A 19,258-nucleotide genomic window follows, 5' to 3' on the forward strand; every position below is an offset into this window, starting at 1 on the left:
TTGTTGCTGTCACTCTATATGAGGTTAAGACAGTTTTCTTCCTAGTTTGATAAATTTTTTTCAGAGTGTGTGATAAATCTTACATGATTGTTTTCTCTATCTGTTAAGATGATTGATGCATTCTCTCCTTTCACAAGCTAACGTGAGAAATTACACCCTGTTATTAGGATGCTGCAAATACTGGCTAGCTGTTTTCCCAATACATTCCGTTTCCTCCTGGGCGCACAGCAAAGCTGTACTTCCTGGCTGCTCTTGCAGTCAAGTGGCACATGCAACTGAGTTCAGGCCGGGGGACTGTGAGCGATGTACTCCACTTCCAGGCTTGGGCTAATTACCTCCTATGTGCGGTCCTAGCTCCTTGTTCTTCTTCCACAGCGGATGTGCATGAGCACAGGACTTGGATGCTACTTACTGAAGGTAGTAAAGCCAGAAGATGACAGATACCTGGGTCTCTCAGTCTCTCTACACGGCTCACTCATTTTGGACTTTTCATGAGCAAAAAGTAAACTTTTATCATGTGAGTCAGTATACGTTTTAAAATTTAGTGCAGCAGTTAGCCGACCCTATCCAGTAAATAGGAAAAACCGGAATTGATCTTAATGTATCATCTTTTTAAGCATTGTTAAACATGGCTAAATTTAGTTTGCCAGTATTTTCAGTGTTTTACTTAGGATTTCTTGGAACTAATTGCATGAATGAGACTGACCCATAATTTTATTTTTCTCATATTGTCATCAGTTAACCTTCAAGATTATGCTAGCCTCATAAACTGAGTTGGGGAGTATTTCCTCTTTTCTGTGCTCTCAACTAGTTTGCAAATGTTAATAATTATTTTTTTCCTTTAATGTTTAGTAGAACTTTTTCAGCTTGCTTTATCTGCATGGGAAGATTTTTTTTAACATGGTTTTTGGTTATTGGCCAGGTTTTTCATTTCTCTTAGGTAGGTTTTGGTAAATTATATTTTTCTAGGGATTTGTCCATTTTATCTAAGTTGTCAAGTTTTTGACACAAAAAGTTCCTCATATCTTCTTATCTTTTTAATCTCTATCAGATAAATGCTTTGGCTCCTTTATGTACTTTCTCTCTTTTTTATGGATCAGTCTTGCTGATGATTTGTTGATTTTGTTAGTCTTTTCAAGTACTAAATTTTTGCTTTGTAGATTCTCCCTTCATTTCTGCTCTTTATAATTTTCTTTCTTCTGTTTTCTTTGTCTTCATTGATTTTATTTTTTTAATCCTTAATTTCAATGTTTAGCTCATTAATTTTTGAATAGTTGGCTTTATAATGAATAAGTTTAATGCTAAAATTTTTTTCCCCAAATCACTTTACATCTCATTATGCTTAAAAACAATATTTTACTTATTGTTTCATTCTAAATATTTTAAACTTTTACTTCTTTATTTCTTCTTTGGCCTATACATTACTTAATTTCCAAATGTATAGTCTTTCTCTAGTAATGTGTTATAATTTCTCACTTAATTTTGCTGTGATAAAAATACTTGATCTAATTTATATCAATCCTTCAACACCTATTCATTATCAGTGGAGTGGAAGTTCTATCACGAAAATGTTAAGGGTGGGAGACAAATTCATGCAACCTCTAAAGAAACTGATGTCCAGGGAGAGTGAGGGGCTTGTTTAAGTTACTATTACTAGTTAGTAGCAGGGCCAGAACATTGAAAAAGGTTTCTTAACTTCCCACCAGTGTTCTTTTTACCAGGGTTATCACCTCCAGGACAATCTAAAATACTGTTATTTGTTTTAAACAAACATATATATATATATATATATATATATGTATCACTATATATAAACTTCACACACCCAATAAAGCACATATATCTCTTGGGTGACTCCGATTTGTGTTAAACAAAGAAGAATATTTTATTTGTGTTCCATTAGCATACTAGTTACTACAATGTTGAAGTACCTAGACAGGTCTGCTTCATATTTTCAAACAGAAAGTTGCATTATTTTATTGATAAAATTATTTTTCAGCTTTTCCGAAGTGGTTTGCATTTTATTGGATATGTGAAATATATATATATATATGTAACATTCACATACTGGGACATGTAAATTAATATATTAAACTTCTAATTAGATTCTTAGACACCTGCATGAAGTCAATAGCTAATGAGTCATGCTCAGATGATTTATTCTTTAAATAATCAAATCATATGTGTGTATATGAGATACATATATAGAATTCTATATATAGATCATAGTGTGTGTGTATATATATATGTGTATATATATATGTGTATATATATGTGTGTATATATATATGTGTATATATATATGTGTGTGTGTGTGTGTGTGTATATATATATATATATATATATATATATATATATATATATATATATAAAATTTAATCCCCAGAACAATTCTATGGGGTTGGAACTATGACCCTAATTTAAAAGCGAGAACTCTGAAATTCATAGAGTTTAAATTGTTTTTCTAGAATTAATAAGAGAAGCACTGAAAGAATTGGGGAGATGCATTCTATCCTCTACTACCTTGTAGTTTGGTTGGGCAAAAAAATTAAGACTAACACAAAGTAGCTAAATACAATAAAGTTAGTAGAATAGTGGGAGAAAGAGTGGCAAGATGGATGGAGGCCATATTTATGAAGCTCTTAAATGCAAAGCTGAAAAGTTTGATTTTTATCGTGTGTAAAAATAGCTATAGATAGAATGTATTGAATGTGTACACTGTGCTCATCTCTTTAAAACATACTCCCATTTTTATACTTGTATCTTTCCTGTGAAATTGAAATTATTTCCATTTTACAGGTGAGGAAACTAATACTTAGAGGGATTAAGGAATTTGTCCAGGATCACACAGCTAGTCAGTGACAAATTCAAGATTTGAACTGAGGTCTGTCTGATTTCAAAGACTATGCTTTTAACTGGAGGAAAAATTTGTGAACAGTCAAAAGCACAGACCTGAAGTATAAAATTCTGAGTTTTGACAAAGGTATATACCCATGTAACCAGCTCTAAACAAAACAGAGAGCATTTTTCTATCACCTCATACCCCTTCCAGTCAATCGTCACTTCCCAACAGAGAACAACTGCTGTGTTTTCCATCACCGTAAATAAACTTTGTCAGTTCTGGAACTTCATGCAACTGGAAGCATACAGTAAATATTCTTTTATGTCAGCCTTTTTTCATTCACCATGATTCTTTTGAGGGTCATTTATGTTTTGCATGTGCCAGTAGTTTGTTTTTGTAATTGCTGACTAGTATTTCATTGTAAGACTGTACCATGATTTATTTATCCTTTCTGATGTTGATGAACATTTAGTTGTTTCTAGTTTGGGGCTGTTAACTATAAAGCTGGCATAAACATTCTGTGTAATCTTTCTGTGAACATATGCTTTTATTTCTCTTGGATAAATAACTCAAAAATTGAATTACTGGTCAAAGATTAGGTGTAATTTGTAAGAAACTGCAATTTTTCCCGAAGTGGTTGAACTCCTTTACACTCCCAAGAGCAATATGGAGTTCTTATTGCTTCTCATCCTTGCTAACATTTGGTGTTGTCTGTCTTTTTAATTTTAGTCATTTTAGTGGGTGTGAAGTGGTATCTCATCATGCTTTTAGTTTTCATTACCCTCATGATTAATGGCAATGTGTATCTTTTCATGGGCTTATTAGTCATTCACATAGAATTTGTTGTTGTTGTTAAGTGTCTAAGTCTTGTGGTCATTTTTATTGGGTTATTCGTCTTTTCCAATTGAGTTGTAGGAGTTCTTTTTTTTCTTCTTTTTTTTATTATACTTTAAGTTCTAAGGTACATGTGCACAATGTGCAGGTTTGTTACATATGTATACATGTGCCATGTTGGTGTGCTGCACCCATTAACTCGTCATTTACATTAGGTATATCTCCTAATGCTATCCCTCCCCCCTCGCCCCACCCCACGACAGGCCCCGGTGTGTGATGTTCCCTGTCCTGTGTCCAAGTGTTCTCATTGTTCAATTCCCACCTATGAGTGAGAACATGCAGTGTTTGGTTTTCTGTCCTTGCGGTCGTTTGCTCAGAATGATGGTTTCCAGCTTCATCCATGTCCCTGCAAAGGACATGAACTCATCATTTTTTATGGTGGCATAGTATTCCATGGTATATATGTGCCACATTTTCTTAATCCAGTCTATCATTGATGGACATTTGGGTTGGTTCCAAGTCTTTGCTATTGTGAATAGTGCTGCAATAAACATGCATGTACATGTGTCTTTATAGCAGCATGATTTATAATCCTTTGGGTATATACCCAGTAATGGGATGGCTGGGTCAAATGGTATTTCTAGTTCTAGATCCTTGAGGAATCGCCACACTGTCTTCCACAATGGTTGAACTAGTTTACAGTCCCACCAACAGTGTAAAAGTGTTCCTAATTCTCCACATCCTCTCCAGTACCTGTTGTTTCCTGACTTTTTAATGATTGCCATTCTAACTGGTGTGAGATGGTATGTCATTGTGGTTTTGATTTGCATTTCTCTGATGGCCAGTGATGATGAGCATTTTTTCATGTGTCTGTTGGCTGCATAAATGTCTTCTTTTGAGAAGTGTCTGTTCATATCCTTTGCCCACTTTTTGATGGGGTTGTTTGATTTTTTTCTTGTAAATTTGTTTGAGTTCTTTGTAGATTCTGGACGTTAGCCCTTTGTCAGATGGGTAGATTGCAAAAATTTTCTCCCATTCTGTAGATTGCCTGTTCACTCTGATGGTAGTTTCTTTTGCTGTGCAGAAGCTCTTTAGTTTAATTAGATCCCATTTGTCAATTTTGACTTTTGTTGCCATTGCTTTTGGTGTTTTAGACATCAAGTCCTTGCCCATGCCTATGTCCTGAATGGTATTGCCTAGATTTTCTTCTAGGGTTTTTATGGTTTTAGGTCTAACATTTAAGTCTCTAATCCATCTTGAATTAATTTTTGTATAAGGTTTAAGGAATGGATCCAGTTTCAGCTTTCTACATATGGCTAGCCAGTTTTCCCAGCACCATTAAATAGGGAATCCTTTCCCCGTTTCTTGTTTTTGTCAGGTTTGTCAAAGATCAGATGGTTGTAGATGTGTGGTGTTATTTCTGAGGGCTCTGTTCTGTTCCATTGTTCTATATCTCTGTTTTGGTACCAGTACCATGCTGTTTTGGTTACTGTAGCCTTGTAGTATAGTTTGAAGTCAGGTAGTGTGATGCCTCCAGCTTTGTTCTTTTGGCTTAGGATTGTCTTGGCAATGCGGGCTGTTTTTTGGTTCCATATGAACGTTAAAGTAGTTTTTTCCAATTCTGTGAAGAAAGTCATTGGTAGCTTGATGGGGATGGCATTGAATCTATAAATTACCTTGGGCAGTATGGCCATTTTCACAATATTGATTCTTCCTATCCAGGAGCATAGAATGTTCTTCCATTTGTTTGTGTCCTCTTTTGTTTCGTTGAGCAGTGGTTTGTAGTTCTCCTTGAAGAGGTCCTTCACATCCCTTGTAAGTTGGATTCCTAGGTATTTTATTCTCTTCGAAGCAATTGTGAATGGGAGTTCACTCATGATTTGGCTCTCTGTGTGTCTGTTATTGGTGTAAAGGAATGCTTGTGACTTTTGCACATTGATTTTGTATCCTGAGACTTTGCTGAAGTTGCTTATTAGCTTAAGGAAATTTTGGGCTGAGACAATGGGATTTTCTAAATATACAATCATGTCATCTGCAAACAGGGACAATTTAACTTCCTATTTTCCTAATTGAATACCCTTTATTTCTTTCTCCTGCCTGATTGCCCTGGCCAGAACTTCCAACACTATGTTGAATAGGAGTGGTGAGACAGGGCATCCCTGTCTTGTGTCAGTTTTCAAAGGGAATGCTTCCAGTTTTTGCCCATTCAGTATGATATTGGCTGTGAGTTTGTCATAAATAGCTCTTATTATTTTGAGATACGTCCCATCAATACCTAATTTATTGAGAGTTTTTATCATGAAGGGGTGTTGAATTTTGTCAAAGGCCTTTTCTGCATCTATTGAGATAATCATGTGGTTTTTGTTGTTGGTTCTGTTTATGTGATGAATTACGTTTATTGATTTGTGTATGTTGAACCAGCCTTGCATCCCCGGGATGAAGCCCACTTGATCATGGTGGATAAGCTTTTTGATATGCTGCTGGATTTGGTTTGCCAGTATTTTATTGAGGATTTTTGCATCGATGTTCATCAGCGATATTGGTCTAAAATTCTCTTTTTTTGTTGTGTCCAGGCTTTGGTATCAGGATGATGCTGGCCTCGTAAAATGAGTTAGGGAGGAGTCCCTCTTTTTCTATTGATTGGAATAGTTTCAGAAGGAATGGTACCAGCTCCTCCTTGTACCTCTGGTAGAATTCAGTTGTGAATCTGTCTGGTCCTGGACTTTTTTTGGTTGGTAGGCTATTAATTATCACCTCAATTTCAGAGCCTGTTATTGGTCTATTCAGGGATTCAACTTCTTCCTGTTTAGTCTTGGGAGGATGTATGTGTCCAGGAATTTATCCATTTCTTCTAGATTTTCTAGTTTATTTGCGTAGAGGTGTTTATAGTATTCTCTGATGGTAGTTTGTATTTCTGTGGGATTGGTGGGATAACCCCTTTATCATTTTTTATTGCGTCTATTTGATTCTTCTCTCTTTTCTTCTTTATTAGTCTTGCTAGTGGTCTATCAATTTTGTTGATCTCTTCAAAAAACCTGCTCCTGGATTCATTGATTTTTTGAAGGTTTTTTTGTGTCTCTATCTGTAGGAGTTCCTTATATATTCTGGTTTCAAATTCTTTATTAGATATATGTAAAGCAAATAGTATTAACCAGTTTGCAGTTTGCCTCTTAATTTCTATAATGGTGACTTTGGGTAAACAGAAATTTTAATTTTGATGAACTGCAACATTACTTTGGTAAGAGTATAGATTTTTGGATCCTGTGTAATCTTTACCTACCCCCAAGTTCAGAGATGTTCTCCTAGGTTTTCTTCTGGAAGTTTTATAGTTTTAGCTTTATGTTTACATGTGTGATTCACGTAGAATTAACTTCTGTGTGTGGTATAAGGTAGGGGTAGAGGTTTATTGTTTGTTGTTGTTTTCTTCTTCCATGGGGTTATCCAGTCATTCCAACATTACTTGTTAAAAAGACTTACCTTTCCCCATTGAATCACTTGCATATTTTGTTGAAAGTTGATTGACTGTATATGTTTGGATCTATCTCTACACTCTTAATTCTATCCTATTGATATATTTTATCTAGCTTTACACCACTTCCAAACTGGCTTGATTTTTATAGCACTGTAATTTATCTTGGATTCAGGTAATGTGAGTCCCAAAACTTGTCACCAATTTTCAAAATTCTTTTGGCTATTCGCATCCAAACATTTACCAAGTGTATTTATATCACACTTCTATATAAACTTTGGAATCAACTCTAATACTTCTTTTATTTTTCAGAGTAGTCAAGTGTATTAGTAAGAAGGGGGAGCAAGGAATTCAATCTGTGACTGACTGTGAACAATCAATTGAGATAACTCACTATTTTCAGACCAGCCTTAACTCTAAATTTTTATTGGAATTTCATTGAGTCTGTAGAGCAATTTTGAGAGAACTGGCATCTTAACAATATTGAATCTTCTAAGTCACAAACATGATATATTACTCCACATATTTAGGTTCCCTTTAATTTCTCTAGGCAATATTTTACAATTTTTAGGTCTTGAATGTCTTTTTAAAGATTTACTCCCAAGTATTTGATGCTTTTTTGATGTTACTGTAAATAGTGTTTTGTAAATTCCATTATTTTATTCTTTGCTGCAGCATATAAGAATACATTTTACTGCTGTATATTGACCAGTTATCCTGTGACCATGGAAGTGTTTTGACTAGTGCAATGAAATGATCAAAGAGGTATTTCAGAAAAAACTGAGCAGAAGAATTGCTCACTGACATATTGATTAGATGTGTCCCAGGAGGATACATGAGCCTTACCGTGAGGCATAATCACAGATCATAGTTCTAACCTGTGGTTGCTGCCTATACATTTGTGCTCATAGTCAATTGTGTTAGCTCTTGGGCCAAAGAATGTGGATAGCTGATTGCAAACCCATCCATCACTCAGAATGGCAAAGCAACTCAAAGCATACCTCCTACGAATGGAAGCACAGTAGTGTCCTCCTCATCAGATTGGTTGAACACTTCTCTTAAATTGCACTCAGTGCCAAAGCTCATTTGCACATAAGTTGGGTGTGGTGAAGTGTATGTGTATGAGGGACTACAGGTTAATATCCCTTATCTAAAATGCTTAGGACCCGAAGTGTTTCAAACTTCAGATGTTCTTAGAATTTTGGAATATTTGCATATACATAATGAGATATCTTGGGGATGGGATCTAAGTCTAAACACAAATTATTTATGTTTCAGATACACCTTATACACATAGCCTAGAGGTAATTTTACACAATATTTTAAATAATTTTTGTGCATGAAACAAAGTTTGTTACCTTGAACCATTAGAAAGCAAAGGCGTCACTATCTCAGCCATCCATATGGATGATCTGTGGTTGTTTGGCAGCAGCATCATTCCTGACTCTGAATTTATATGCTACCAATAAGCAATCACTTTCTTACAATTATTCACACATAAGTATTTAACAGTAAACAACATGACTTACCATTAATATAGTGATATACCATTAATGCAGTGAAAACTCAATGTGTTCAGGGTAACTCAGCAGCACAGTAGCATCACCACAATACCTGTATCCACTGTTCAACAACAGCAACAGCAAATAACAGCAGGCTTTCAGGTCCACCTATGATGTGTTTTGATTAAAAGGTTTAATGTACACTGAATTTTATTTCTAAGGTAAGAAAAAGCATCAGAAGCAATTGAGGGACCAGGAAGTGGGCCCTCTAAGGAAGAGGAGGTATTTTGCTAGATGGCTTTTGAAGTTGTTTTCTCCAGAGTCATTTTCCTCATTAACAACAGTTTTTGCCTTAGAAGTCTCTCTTTGATTTTATAAACTGACGTTATTTATTGTTCTGTTGTGAATACACACTGCTCTAGTCCTTCAATAATCTCATCACACATTTTCACCATGTTGTCTATAGACACTTTTTCTGCAGTGTCAACATCATCTTCATCATTACTATTACTACAATCACCTTGATTCAGAACCCATCAGTCAATGAATGAACAACTGGAGCCTCACTATTGGTGTGAATAATTTCTTTGATATCCACTTCTTCCAGCTTGCTGATAGACTCTGAAGGTATGTTTTTTGCAAAAGTAAGGAGGTTGGGTTTTATTTTTTCTCACTTGACATACAAAGTTTTTAAAGTCACCATCTTCTTCATCATCACTGAACACAGTCACAGGCTGGAGGTTGTGACAGGCATGTGTCTTTAGTCTGTGTACCAAGCATTGGCAGTAGTATATATGACATCCTTCATGCTAAACTCCTTTTGAAAACCTTCCATATTCATACCTCTGTTCACTGCTGCTAGCATGCTTTTCAAAAAGTGTTTTTATATTTACTTTTCATTGATAGAAGGATGCTCTGGTCCCATGGCTAAATTAATGAAGTCATATTTGGGGGAAAGTATATGGCATAAACATTATTTTTAATGAGAATTCCAGCTGAAGAATGAGCAGAAAGTTGCCAGGGAATAACAAAATCTTTCAATAGTCATTTAGTCCAGTTTCCCTGCAGTGAGCCTGAGCAGCTGGTACAAAATGTTTGTGAAACCAATCAGAAAGATGTTCCTGGTGATCCATGCCTTTCTGTTAGCATAATAATGGACTGGTAAGAAATTCACTCCTTAAAAACAGTGAAGATGCAAGCTGTTGCCTATCACAGTATGTTTACACTTATGTGTGCCTGCTGCATTAGCACATCCCAGCTCAGTTATTCTGCCTTTGGCATCCTTATTCTCTGTAGGAACTGTATCATCAGTTCTACTCAGTGTAGTTCCAGGGCAATAATGCCAAAACGGTAATGCTTCATCAGCATCATAAGCTTGTTCTGGCATAAGATTTTCATCAGTAATGACGAAGGTCATCATCAGTGATGACCTTGGCAAATTTGTTAATGAATTTATTCACTGCTTCATGATCAGCACGTGCTTTATTATTACAAATCTTTAAAAATGTAATACTATATCTAAAAAATATCTGCAACCAGCCTGTTGAATATTCACAGTTCCCTTCAATTTTCAGTTCATCATGACAGATCTTTGCTTGTTTAATGATCAGCACACCCTTAAGTGGCATGTGTTGCTTGCAGCACTGATGGATCAACTCTTTTAATACACAATTGAAATCTCCATTTTTAGGTTTTGTGGTGTTTTTCCATTTTTCATTAACTTCTGTTTATCACTTTCTGTGTAAACTTCAACATTTTGTCCTTCTGTTTCTTCAGGTCATATGTGGTGGTCATTTCAACACCATAGTCTTCTGTAAGACATTTCACACTTATATCACCGTCCAGTTTCTCCCCAGTTTAACTTTCAGTGCCATAGATAAATATAAATCCTTCCTCTTTTTTAAATTATTGTTACCCTTGGGGGTATCTGCAGCCCTTTTTAACATTTTCAACAATATTTTACAATACATATCAGAGAATAGGCAAAAACACAGTGAGTAATGCATGTTGGTCTTAGCCCCATGTGGGGCATTGTGGGGAACCTACCCTTGGTGTGCCTGATTATCTCAATGCCATTTTATTATCCCTTGTGGGCATGATTGCATGGGGGAATCTGGGCATCATCAGAAGAGATAGGGGCGTGAAGAGTCTTTTTTCCCTCAGAGATGCTAAATAAATGATGTGCTGCATGCCTGCATTTTGACCGCAACCCATCACATATGGTCAGGTCTTATTTTCCACGTGTCAGGTCATGTGGGTGATAAAAAAGTTTCAAATTTTGGAGCACTTCAGATTTCAGATTTTCACATTAGGGATACTCAACCTGTATATATATTTTTGAAGCTCAAAAGAATTCTGAGGGTACTCATTTATACAAGTTTTTCATCAGCTGCTCATTTTTTCCATCCCAACTTTTTGGTAATGGCTCAAGAATCTAGCTAGGGTCCTCATAATTCTGTATCATATTTCATTTTGCCCTCTGTGTATCTATCTTCATAAATTATTAGGTTGAGCTTGGGAGAATTTCCAAATTCCTCTTTGCATGTTTTTGTGTGTATGAACAATCCAAAACTTTCAGCTTTAAGCTTACTATTTTACTAAAGCAGGGAGATTGATAGAAAGTTTTTAATTTCCTTAGAAAATAATAAAAGACAAAATAAAAACACTCTTATATTAAACATCCAGTTCTTTTCTTTCTTTTGGTAACTTACCTTCTTATTTTGATAAACAAAATTTCATGTCCTTCCTTAACATGATTCAAAATTTTAAAATAAATTCTATGCTGGGAATAAAAACAAACCATACAATGGTTGAAAAAATAAACATTTTCAAACTCTGAGTAATCACAAAAGTTCTGACATGCCCCTCTCCTACCAGTTGAAACACATGGATTTTAAAGGATTACATGCAAGGTAGCTTTCCTGGTTTTGAACTACAAAATAATGCAGAATACAGGTATGATTGACTGGTGCCTTGGGACAACAGACACTGTGCATGGGTTTATAAAATATAGATATTTATCTTGACTTATTTGCAAGTCACCTTATGCAGCTCTGATGATGTTTACACTTGCAGAACTTATCAAAGTTTCTCTTTATACTATAAACTTATTACATATACAGGCTGGTTTAAGGAAAGTTAGGAAGCCTTTGTCTTTGACACTCCTGGATGGACCCTAAGGGGTAATCTGATCCCAACCTATCACTTTATATTGAATAAATATATGGAATAAATACCTAGAGAGAGTGAGTGACTTGTGAAAGCCACACAGCTAAGGCCTGAGCTTGGATGAGGACTATGTTTCTTGGTTCTTTAAGCAGGAATCTTTCTATTGCCCTGTGTGGTTTTCATCTTTTTCTTTTGCTTTTAGATATTTCTCCAACAGGACCCTGATGTCCTTATCTGGTCCTTATTACAATGCCCTACTGATCTTGCCAGCACTTATCAACTCCCTTCATCTTTCTAATCAGACCACCTCCCTTTTCCTCCATGTCCTATTCCTAGTGGTCCTATCCAAGCTTAATATTGAATCTAAAGAGCCAGTAGTGTTTATGGCACAATATGTTGCTCCTTGTTTGAAGTAGCTTCAATGCCTCACCTCATATAAGCAACTATACATAATATTCCTAAGAGTTAAATGTATTGATTTCTCACTATGTGTCAGACACTGCTAACATTTTATATAAATTATGTCATGGATATTGCATGCATTATGTCATTATCTCATTTGAGTAATGAGTTATAAAGAGACAAGTCCAGTGAGTGATGTATTTAGAGACAGGTGGGGTTATCCTGCCCCATTTTTAGTGATATCACACAGGCAGTAGCCCTGATGCCCTGGGCAGGGGCCAACACATGAAAGGAGCCTGCCTTGTCTTCCAGTATCCTCAGCTCTTGGCCCAGTGAGTCTTCTGTGCATGCTGCTGGGGGAAATCAGCCAGAACTGCTCTGCTGGACAAGATTCTCAGAATAGAGGCTGCTAACAAGCCCAGGTATTCCCATGCTCTGAAATTCATTGTTTGCCACAAACTGGGAAGCAATACCCAGGCTACAGGGCACCATGTAAGGCTTAAATAGAGAAGTATCTAGAAAAGACTCCCTGGATACAGAATGTCCATGGTTATCTGTTATTTCTGCTGAATAAACTTGAGGGCAGGAAGAGAGAATCAAACTGGTTTTTGTGAATATTGTTCTGCTACTGTCAGGTCTTGCTTCTTGTGTATTCAATGAAATGTTCCTGTTGATAAATGGAAATGTGTAAATGGACAAGAGCCACTGTAGAGTTTAACACTAATGGGAAGAAAAATAATACCTTCATATACAAGAAATAATTAGTCAGAGGCCAGGATAAGGATGAAGTAGGTCACAGGAAGCTAGAAAATAGGAACCATTTGCAAAGGAGTATGTGAGACAAAGCTAGTAAAGTTAAGGAAGAAAGTGGAGAGACCTGAGCACCAAGGAATACGATAATAGCTTAAGTGTTGATTACTTGCTCTGAAGTAGACACATTCATTGTACCTGAAAAAAGTCAAATAGACTTTGGCTCAAATATTTGTAAGCCTCTATGTGAAATGGGAATCAGACTTTTCTAAGGAGGCTTCAGAGAGGAGAACTGGCACCAGTGTGCCAAGCTCCAAGGAGGCAAACTTTGGCACAGTATCTGAAAGAGCTTTCTAACAATCACTGCATCTGAAGGTGAGCTGGCTGCCTCCAGAGCAGAGAATTTCCCAGTGCTGAAATTGTCCAGGCAGAGTCAGGGCTGTGGGAAAAGGAATGTAAGCAATAAAGGTGGAGGTTTGGAGACTTGGAGACTTGGAGATTATAGTAGTCTATATTTTTCTGAGGGCAGGAGAACTCAAGAACTCTCCAGTTTAAAGTAAGAATAAAAACTAGGCCAGGCACAGTGGCTCATGCCTGTAATCCCAGCACTTTGGGAGGCAGAGGTAGGTGGATCACCTGAGGTCAGGAGTTCAAGACTAGCCTGGCAAACAGCAAAACCGCATCTCTACTAAAAATACAAAAATTAGCCTGGCGTGGTGGCAGACGCCTGTAATCCTAGCTACTCAGGAGGCTGAGGCAGGAGAATTGCTTGAACCTGGGAGGTGAAGGTTGCAGTGAGCTGAGATCATGCCACTACACTCCAGCCTGGGTGACAGAGCAAGACTCTGTATCAAAAAACAAACAAACGAACAAACAAAAAATAAGTGGCAGGAAGAGGCTGGGTTTTGTACCCACACAGATACAGATCCCAGCTCAAATTGCACCTCTGCACTTACTTGCCGAGGGCCCTCGCTGTTTTCTACACTCTCTGGGACTCAGTCTCTTCTCTGTCTATAAAACAGTATAGTCACAGCTATCCTACAATGTTCCAGTGAGCATTAAGTGGTATATCTCATGGAAATTGTCCTAACACACAGAAGTGTGTTTTAGCAAGATAGAGAAATATGGCCCAGGGAAAGGCTGACTTTAGAAAATCCAAAGCTGTGGAATCTCTAAGAACCGCCTCTGAGAAGTAACTTTATATGGGAAACAATGTTGACCTCTCTCTACATTTTTTATATTGTATTTCCTTTCTTGGGCCTGAGATCCTGGAGATCTTCCACTCACTTGAATAGCAATTTCTTGAACCATCGCAATGGCCTGAATTTAAATGGGTAAGAATCAGTTAGTACTAACAAGTCTTACAGAAAAGAAGAGAGGGTTAGGAGCTCAAGATTATTCCTCAGAAAGGATATCCCTTCTCCTAAGGCTTAGGCAGCAACAGTGAACAAGGATGACAACACAGACATCCCAGTATTGTTCAAAATACAGAAAGCAAAGTAAAAGTTGAGACAAATAGTTAAGATATTCAGTTCATAAGCTTATCTATTCATGGTGGATCTGGGTTTGGAAAGAAGCATATTTTATTCATCTTTTGTCCAAAGGTCTAGGCATAACTGAGCTTGTCTGGGGAAACTTTGTAAATGTAAGTTCTTCCTGAAATTGCAATGTGTAGATGGATTATGGTGCCCATCACATGTTATCAGGCTAAGACAGAGGAGACTATGAAAAACTTGTTATAAAAGGAGCATTGGCCAGAGGCAGAGGTTGCAATGAGCCAAGATTACACCAGTGCACTCTAGTCTGGGCAACAGAGTGAGACTCCATCTCAAAACAAAAGGTTGGGGGGCATTCAGTTTGATAGAGTATCACTGATTTGGTCAATCAATGCCTGACATTTCATTGGCCACTGTTAGTCATGGTGGGGAGGGGGCCATGATCTAAGATAACCTAATAAAGCTGAAGGAAGGGTGTCTGTTCCATAAGTGGGGACACCATCTCTTTCTCGCACTGCTCTCAACAGATGGCAGTTGCAGCCATCTTGTGACTAGAAGAAGAGGAAGCTCCATACTCAGGGGCTCCAGAACACTAGAGTCACAGTCCTGAGACACATACCTGGAGGCTGCCCTGCGTGTGGACTTCGGTATGTTTAATAATAAATTTCTTAATATTTTAAGCCAGTTTTAACTGTGTGTCTTACACTTAAAGCCAAATGTGCTCTAACTGTAAAAAGTAAGATGGGGGAATACTAATTCTCATTATAATCTTCTCCAACCAACTTTTAAAAAATAAATTCTACTGTATATATTTGAGGTATACAACACAATGTTATGAGATAGTAAAACGATTACTGTAGTAAAGCAAATTAACATATTCATCATCTCACATAGTTATCTATTTTTTATGGCAAACACAGCTAAAATCTACTCATTTGGCAAAAATCCTGAATACAATACAATATTATTAACTATAGTCCTCATGCTTTAAATTAGATCTCTAAACTTGTTCATCCTGCATATCTGCTACTTTATATCCTTTGAACTACATCTTCCCATTTTCTCCCAGCTTCCATTGATTTTCTTCAAACACCATGTACTTGTATTATTTTGATTTTTAAAAAATAAAATTTTAAGAAATCCTGTTTCTTTCATAAGTGGCGGCCACTGACATAGATCTTAGTCTTTCTCATGCTTCATAGAAACTGAGAAGAGCTTGGGTTCTTGGAATTTCAAAGGCTAAATCAGCCAGTTGATTTAATCTATTTATTTTTTAAAAAATCAATTCTGTAAAAAATTTAGTCAGGTTAAACCTTTTAACACTCACATAAGGGCAAACACTAGTTTAAATGTCTTCATTATTTCATGTTCTAACCAGTTGTGTGGCATTATGCATATAGGATATTATAACATTTGAATTTAGTGGCTAGCAATGTTGTGGCAAAATGTGATTAACATATCCTGTGGCTGTCCTCTCCCTCTCCCTCTCCCTCTCCCTCCCCCTCCCCCTCCCCCTCTCCCTCTTGTCTCCCTCTCCCCACGGTCTCCCTCTCCCTCTCTTTCCACAGTCTCCCTCTCATGCCTAGCCGAAGCTGGACTGTACTGCTGCCATCTCGGCTCACTGCAACCTCCCTGCCTGATTCTCCTGCCTCAGCCCGCCGCGTGCCTGCGATTGCAGCCGCGCACCGCCACGCCTGACTGGTTTTCGTACTTTTTTGGTGGAGATGGGGTTTCGCTGTGTTGGCCGGGCTGGTCTCCAGCTCCTAACCGCGAGTGATCCGCCAGCCTCGGCCTCCCGAGGTGCTGGGATTGCAGACGGAGTCTGGTTCACTCAGTGCTCAATGGTGCCCAGGCTGGAGTGCAGTGGCATGATCTCGGCTCGCTACAACCTCCACATCCCAGCCGCCTGCCTTGGCCTCTCAAAGTGCCGAGATTGCAGCCTCTGCCCTGCCGCCACCCCGTCTGGGAAGTGAGGAGCGTCTCTGCCTGGCCGCCCATCGTCTGGGACGTGAGGAGCCCCTCTGCCTGGCTGCCCAGTCTGGAAAGTGAGGAGCGTTTCTGCCCGGCCGCCATCCCATCTAGGAAGTGAGGAGCGCCTCTTCCCGGCCACCATCCCATCTAGGAAGTGAGGAGCGTCTTTGCCTGGCCGCCCATCGTCTGAGATGTGGGGAGCGCCTCTGCCCCCCCGCCCCGTCTGGGATGTGAGGAGCGCCTCTGCCCAGCCGCGACCCTGTCTGGGAGGTGAGGAGCATCTCTGCCCAGCCGCCCCGTCTGAGAAGTGAGGAGACCCTCCGCCTGGCAACCGCCCTGTCTGAGAAGTGAGGAGCCCCTCCGCCCGGCAGCCACCCCATCAGGGAAGTGAGGAGCGTCTCTGCCCGGTAGCCACCCCGTCCGGGAGGGAGATGGGGGTCAGCCCCCGCCAGGCCAGCTGCCCCGTCCGGGAGGGAGGTGGGGGGGTCAGCCCCCCACCCGGCCAGCTGCCCCATCCGGGAGGGAGGTGAGGGGGTCAGCCCCCCGCCCGGCCAGCCGCCCCGTCCGGGAGGTGAGGGGCGCCTCTGCCCGGCCGCCCCTACTGGGAAGTGAGGAGCCCCTCTGCCCGGCCGCCACCCCGTCTGGGAGGTGTACCCAACAGCTCATTGAGAACAGGCCAGGATGACAATGGCGGTTTTGTGGAATAGAGAGGGGGGGAAAGGTGGGGAAAAGACTGAGAAATCGGATAGTTGCCATGTCTGTGTAGAAAGAAGTAGACATGGGAGACTTTTCATTTTGTTCTGTACTAAGAAAAATTCTTCTGCCTTGGGATCCTGTTGATCTGTGACCTTACCCCCAACCCTGTGCTCTCTGAAACATGTGCTGTGTCCACTCAGGGTTAAATGGATTAAGGGCGGTGCAAGATGTGCTTTGTTAAACAGATGCTTGAAGGCAGCATGCTCGTTAAGAGTCATCACCACTCCCTAATCGCAAGTACCGAGGGACACAAACACTGCGGAAGGCCGCAGGGTCCTCTGCCTAGGAAAACCAGAGACCTTTGTTCACTTGTTTATCTGCTGACCTTCCCGCCACTATTGTCCTGTGTCCCTGCCAAATCCCCCTCTGCGAGAAACACCCAAGAATGATCAATAAAAAAAAAAATAATAAAATAAAATAAAAAAATAAAAAAAAAAACATATCCTGCGGCCAGAACTCAATGAAGCAATTTTAAAATGCTCCAGAAATAGCAAGCACTCCTTGCAAAAAGAGGGTCATATTCCCGGAAAATGTGACACAGCTAATGTCCATCAACTGACTAATATTCATTAGCATTCAACACATTAGTAGATTGTCCTTCTGTGAGCACTTCTGTTCTTAATTTATAATGCTTTGTAGGGTAGTAGAAATAGCATGTTTTTAGAGGCCAAATGTGGGCTGAAATCACAACTTGGACACTTATTAAGTCAGTAACTTTGGTCAGGTTACTTGATGCCTCTAAACTTCAATTTCTTCATCTATGAAACCAAACTCGTTCAATAGATTGCTGTTTAGATAAAAGTTATAGGTAAAGAGCAATGTGCCTTCACTTATTAATACATGCCATTTTCCTCTATTTCCTTTCCCCTGATTTTCCTCATTAGAAATTCTGAGAACCTCACACATTTTTTGTTTTAACTAACGAATGTTCAGGAGGGAAGAGTGAATATAAGTGTGGCCTGAGTGAAAAGGAGATTCAGACACGTCTGTAAGCTGGTGAGGCCGGGCATCGGAAACCCTATTTACGCGACTCTGAGGAGCCTCCTGAGAAGCCAAGCTCTGTGCCGATGGGATCAGACACCACTGAACATGTCCACGGTGCTTGGGGGCTTGGACAACAGCAGTCCGACACTGAGACACCTGCAGGCACGGAGTTCATCGTCCCAGGGGAAGTTTGTTACAGTAAATGTACATCACAGTTTTGTTTTGTTTTGTTTCCTAGTCAATATCTGAATCCTACAACAAAGGGCATATTAAAAAGCAGAAATTGGTTTTCACTAAATTCTGTAACTCATTTGGAGATGGGCATGCTGCTTGAGGTCACTTTCAGCAGACTGTGGCACAAGAAGACTAAAGTCACTCTTTCTCTTCCAAGCAACCCATTCCATGTCCCCCTCCCTGTCTTCCCTACCTCCCCCTGCCCCCTGCCACCCAACCAACAATACAGTCCTGGCACTGTAAGAACTCAGAGCATCGGGTGGGAGGTCCATCAAAAATATGGGTATTCAACAGATGTGGAGGATCAGCAGTGGCACCAGCAGAGTACTTCTGAAAAGCAGTAGAGGAGACCTCGGTGCACATAGTAGGACAGCTGCATCTGGGAGCAAGAATGAGGGCTCATGTGTTCAGCTATGTATGTGAGACACAGGCCTCCAAAAACGCTGTGCTTCAAATGCACTGAGCTCTTTTGGGCATGAAGATATTCATAGAATGATACATAGAAATTGTGTTAACTCATAATTTCTAAAAGTATATTTATGGGAGCACATATATATCAACATAAAGTTCACGTATTTTGTGACTGCATGAACGTTTTAGCATCTGAAAATTATGAAAAGCAACATGTTAAATTATTTATACATTTCATTTGTACAACAGTAGCCCTCTGAGTGGGAGGTATAATGAGCCCCATGTTACAGATGAGGCTCTAAGTGTTTAAGTGTCTTAAGTTACTTCAGTCGTTGAGCAGTTGAGTTGGGATTGAAACTCAGGTATTTCCAGCTATGAACCTGTGCTCCAGACCACTCTCCAGCATTTCTCACCTGTCTCAAGGTCATGTGGAATTCTA

The 19,258-nt window shown here is 39.2% G+C and overlaps 1 long non-coding RNA gene across 2 annotated transcripts, besides 3 other annotated features; it reads left to right on the forward strand.

Moving 5' to 3' along the window:
* Window positions 1-225: 225 nt before the first annotated feature.
* LOC105369439 (uncharacterized) lies at window positions 226-15,314 on the forward strand. Of its 2 annotated transcripts, none has more exons than XR_947928.3 (4): window positions 226-517; window positions 9,114-9,274; window positions 12,530-12,639; window positions 14,991-15,314. It is a non-coding gene; the product is annotated as an uncharacterized LOC105369439 (long non-coding RNA). The 2 variants fall into 2 exon arrangements; XR_947927.2 differs by having other exon boundaries at window positions 266-417; window positions 14,991-15,104.
* Window positions 352-552: a silencer, noted in NCBI's record as "peak1408 fragment used in MPRA reporter construct". NCBI's record gives its function as "represses an SCP1 promoter by STARR-seq MPRAs in K562 erythroleukemia cells {active_cell/tissue: K562}" and the evidence as "EXISTENCE:reporter gene assay evidence [ECO:0000049][PMID:32103011]".
* Window positions 10,574-11,075: an enhancer, noted in NCBI's record as "NANOG hESC enhancer chr11:95209557-95210058 (GRCh37/hg19 assembly coordinates)". NCBI's record gives its function as "activates a minimal SCP1, AML or CMV promoter by ChIP-STARR-seq in primed H9 embryonic stem cells {active_cell/tissue: H9 hESC(primed)}" and the evidence as "EXISTENCE:reporter gene assay evidence [ECO:0000049][PMID:30033119]".
* Window positions 16,485-17,035: an enhancer, noted in NCBI's record as "H3K27ac hESC enhancer chr11:95215468-95216018 (GRCh37/hg19 assembly coordinates)". NCBI's record gives its function as "activates a minimal SCP1, AML or CMV promoter by ChIP-STARR-seq in naive H9 embryonic stem cells {active_cell/tissue: H9 hESC(naive)}" and the evidence as "EXISTENCE:reporter gene assay evidence [ECO:0000049][PMID:30033119]".

The sequence above is a fragment of the Homo sapiens genome, chromosome 11, assembly GCF_000001405.40.
Source record: "Homo sapiens chromosome 11, GRCh38.p14 Primary Assembly".
NCBI lineage: Eukaryota > Metazoa > Chordata > Mammalia > Primates > Hominidae > Homo > Homo sapiens.